The following is a 4,091-nucleotide window of genomic DNA, read 5'->3' on the forward strand; positions in this document are numbered from 1 at the left end:
AAATGTGGTATATCCATATGATGGAATATTATTTCATAATAAAAAGAAATAAGGCCGGACATGGTGGCTCATGCCTGTAATCCCAGCATTTGGGAGGCCAAGGTGGGAGGGCCAGGAGTTCAAGATCAGTCTGGGAAACATAGTGAGAACCCTGTCTCTATAAAAACAAAATAAAAAATTAGCCAGACCTAGTGGCATGTGACTGTGGACCCATACTTGGGATGCTGAGGCAGAAAGATCCCTTGAACCCAGGAGTTCAAGACTGCAGTGAGCTATGATCACTCTACTACACTCCAGCCTAGTTGAAAAAAAAAATCTACTGCCATAGACAGTCAATCAGGACTTGCATCTGTACAGCTCACAGTCCAAGAAGAAAGAAAGAGCATGTGCTATCTCTCCAGGTTTTATGTGTGAAATTCCTAATTCCTGAGAAACACTTTGATTGGCCTGGCTCAGGTACGGGTCCATGACAGGCAAACCCACATGACCTGAGATTGGAGCCCCATGTGTGGCTGGGCAGGTTTGTGTTAGTTGCCAAGGGAGTGGAGGCCAGGCTTCCTGAACTACGTATAATTAGGGGAGGAGCAGTTTCCTAAAAGAAAAGACACTGGAGGACCAAAACAACAAATGCCCATATACTGGACTTAAGGAACGTTAGAAAAGTTTTTACCCACCAGAAAATGTCACTTAGAATCTGTTCCTTAAACCAGCCAATGTTCTTATTTGAATGGAACAGAAATAAGGAGATTGACTTGGGGACAGAGAAGTTTGCAGTACATTTCTAAAAATACTTTCTTGCATAACCTCTCAAATCCAATTAAACGCAGAGCCACATTTTGGTGTGTGCTTCTAGGAGAACTCAGATTAAGACAGCAAGACAGGGAATGTAAGGTTGCTGGGCTGACAAGCTCTAGGAACAACCAAACTATAGAAAGGATCAGAAACCTCTACTGTGTAAACTATAAAGGTTTATGTGCCTGTTTGTTCTTTAAAGTTTATATATATATATGTTCCTGTCTCGGCTGTGTTAGGGAAAACTAAAGGAAAGGCCTTTGCTTAGGTGTGAGTCGGAGCCTTAAACCTAAACCGGAAGAGCCACAGAGATCAAGGGCTGCACGGTCAGACTATAGGCACAATTAAAATGGGAGAATGTCAGAGGCAAAAGAGGCTTACTCGATCCAGTCACCTCTTGACCAACATGTTCTCTACCTGGGGCTAAATCTTAGAGATTGTGGGTTTTGTCTTAATAAAGGAGATGTTCCCCAGAATTCCTGTCTCTCCTAACCCACCACTTTCCCTGTTCTCAGGCAAGTTTATTTTATATGCCATAGTGGCAATGAAAGTTATGCACAATGAGGTTGAGTGCAGTTTAGTCTATGAGTCAATAGAGATGCCTAAAATTATGAAATAAAATAGATTGTAGGACGAAAAATGTTTCTTCCACTGTGAACATATTAAGCCCAGTTGCTTCTTTATTCTTTAGTACATTGTTACAGCAGTGAAGGCAGCCATGGAGATGTTGTACTAATACAATATTTTTCTACGATGATTTACCATGTCATTAACATTTTAGCTCACTTGTTGCAGCTTTCACATTGAGCCAAAATAGATGTGCACCTAAGTTTGTATTATTCACCTTTCTTCACATGATTATCCACATTGAGAATGGTCAGATACGCTTTCCTGCTGGGTTCAGTCATGTTTAATCCTTTGATCCATTTTTTCCATTGATGTTTCCTTTTATATGATACTTGCTAATTAAAGTTAGTTCAGTCCCCACAGTATCTCTGAAGAAAGCAGCTCAGGGGAATACTTAATAATATAATCATATTATTCTCTCCATGTGACATTCATTATGATGTTATTAATGACTAGCTCAACTTCATAGAGGCATTGGCTTGTGGGATCTGAGTCAAGGTTTAGGGCCCAAGGCTGCAGCAAGACATGGTGAAATGTTTAGCCAGAATGACTGAAAACAATGTCATTAAGAATAAAAAGTAAAAATTGCGATCAAGAAAAAAAGCAGAAACCAGACCTAGAGAATCACTTGCAAACCTCAGGTTTTAGAACAGATATATGTCTGAAGAAATAAGTAAGTTGAGAGGTCAAATGCCTGGGCTGTCAAGAACAGATCTGGGAGCAGAGGGTAAGATAGGTCAGCTGGGGGAGGAGCCAAGATGGCCGAATAGGAACAGCTCCGGTCTACAGCTCCCAGCGTGAGCGACGCAGAAGACGGGTGATTTCTGCATTTCCATCTGAGGTACCGGGTTCATCTCACTAGGGAGTGCCAGACAGAGGGCGCAGGTCAGTGGGTGCGCACACCATGCGCGAGCCAAAGCAGGGCAAGGCATTGCCTCACTTGGGAAGCGCAAGGGGTCAGGGAGTTCCCTTTCTGAGTCAAAGAAAGGGGTGACGGACGGCACCTGGAAAATCGGGTCACTCCCACCCGAATACTGCGCTTTTCCGACGGGCTTAAAAAACGGTGCACCACGAGATTATATCCCTCACCTGGCTTGGAGGGTCCTACGCCCACGGAGTCTCGCTGATTGCTAGCACAGCAGTCTGAGATCAAACTGCAAGGCGGCAGTGAGGCTGGGGGAGGGGCGCCCGCCATTGCCCAGGCTTGCTTAGGTAAACAAAGCAGCCAGGAAGCTCCAACTGGGTGGAGCCCACCACAGCTCAAGGAGGCCTGCCTGCCTCTGTAGCCGCCACCTCTGGTGGCAGGGCACAGACAAACAAAAAGACAACAGTAACCTCTGCAGACTTAAATGTCCCTGTCTGAAAGCTTTGAAGAGAGCAGTGGTTCTCCCAGCATGCAGCTGGAGATCTGAGAATGGGCAGACTGCCTCCTCAAGTGGGTCCCTGAACCCTGACCCCTGAGCAGCCTAACTGGGAGGCACCCCTCAGCAGGGGCACACTGACACCTCACACGGCAGGGTATTCCAACAGACCTGCAGCTGAGGGTCCTCTCTGTTAGAAGGAAAACTAACAAACAGAAAGGACATCCACACCAAAAACCCATCTGTACATCACCATCATCAAAGACAAAAAGTAGATAAAAGCACAAAGATGGGGAAAAAACAGAACAGAAAAACTGGAAACTCTAAAAAGCAGAGTGCCTCTCCTCCTCCAAAGGAACGCAGTTCCTCACCAGCAACGGAACAAAGCTGGATGGAGAATGACTTTGACGAGCTGAGAGAAGAAGGCTTCAGACGATCAAATTACTCTGAGCTACGGGAGGACATTCAAACCAAAGGCAAAGAAGTTGAAAACTTTGAAAAAAATTTAGAAGAATGTATAAGTAGAATAAGCAATACAGAGAAGTGCTTAAAGGAGCTGATGGAGCTGAAAACCAAGGCTCGAGAACTACGTGAAGAATGCAGAAGCCTCAGGAGCCCATGCGATCAACTGGAAGAAAGGGTGTCAGCGATGGAAGATGAAACGAATGAAATGAAGCGAGAAGGGAAGTTTAGAGAAAAAAGAATAAAAAGAAATGAGCAAAGCCTCCAAGAAATATGGGACTATGTGAAAAGACCAAATCTACGCCTGATTGGTGTACCTGAAAGTGATGGGGAGAATGGAACCAAGTTGGAAAACACTCTGCAGGATATTATCCAGGAGAACTTCCCCGATCTAGCAAGGCAGGCCAATGTTCAGATTCAGGAAATACAGAGAATGCCACAAAGATACTCCTCGAGAAGAGCAACTCCAAGACACATAATTGTCAGATTCACCAAAGTTGAAATGAAGGAAAAAATGTTAAGGGCAGCCAGAGAGAAAGGTCGGGTTACCCTCAAAGGGAAGCCCATCAGACTAACAGCGGATCTCTCGGCAGAAACCCTACAAGCCAGAAGAGAGTGGGGGCCAATATTCAACATTCTTAAAGAAAAGAATTTTCAACTCAGAATTTCATATCCAGCCAAACTAAGCTTCATAAGTGAAGGAGAAATAAAATACTTTACAGACAAGCAAATGCTGAGAGATTTTGTCACCACCAGGCCTGCCTTACAAGAGTTCCTGAAGGAAGCACTAAACATGGAAAGGAACAACCGGTACCAGCCACTGCAAAATCATGACAAAATGTAAAGACC

The 4,091-nt window shown here is 44.4% G+C and overlaps 2 annotated features.

Annotated features, from left to right (window-relative positions):
* Nucleotides 1,860-2,445: an enhancer, noted in NCBI's record as "H3K27ac-H3K4me1 hESC enhancer chr4:76326102-76326687 (GRCh37/hg19 assembly coordinates)". NCBI's record gives its function as "activates a minimal SCP1, AML or CMV promoter by ChIP-STARR-seq in primed H9 embryonic stem cells {active_cell/tissue: H9 hESC(primed)}" and the evidence as "EXISTENCE:reporter gene assay evidence [ECO:0000049][PMID:30033119]".
* Nucleotides 2,446-3,030: an enhancer, noted in NCBI's record as "H3K27ac-H3K4me1 hESC enhancer chr4:76326688-76327272 (GRCh37/hg19 assembly coordinates)". NCBI's record gives its function as "activates a minimal SCP1, AML or CMV promoter by ChIP-STARR-seq in naive H9 embryonic stem cells {active_cell/tissue: H9 hESC(naive)}" and the evidence as "EXISTENCE:reporter gene assay evidence [ECO:0000049][PMID:30033119]".

This window comes from Homo sapiens, chromosome 4 (genome assembly GCF_000001405.40).
Source record: "Homo sapiens chromosome 4, GRCh38.p14 Primary Assembly".
Taxonomy (NCBI): Eukaryota; Metazoa; Chordata; class Mammalia; order Primates; family Hominidae; genus Homo; species Homo sapiens.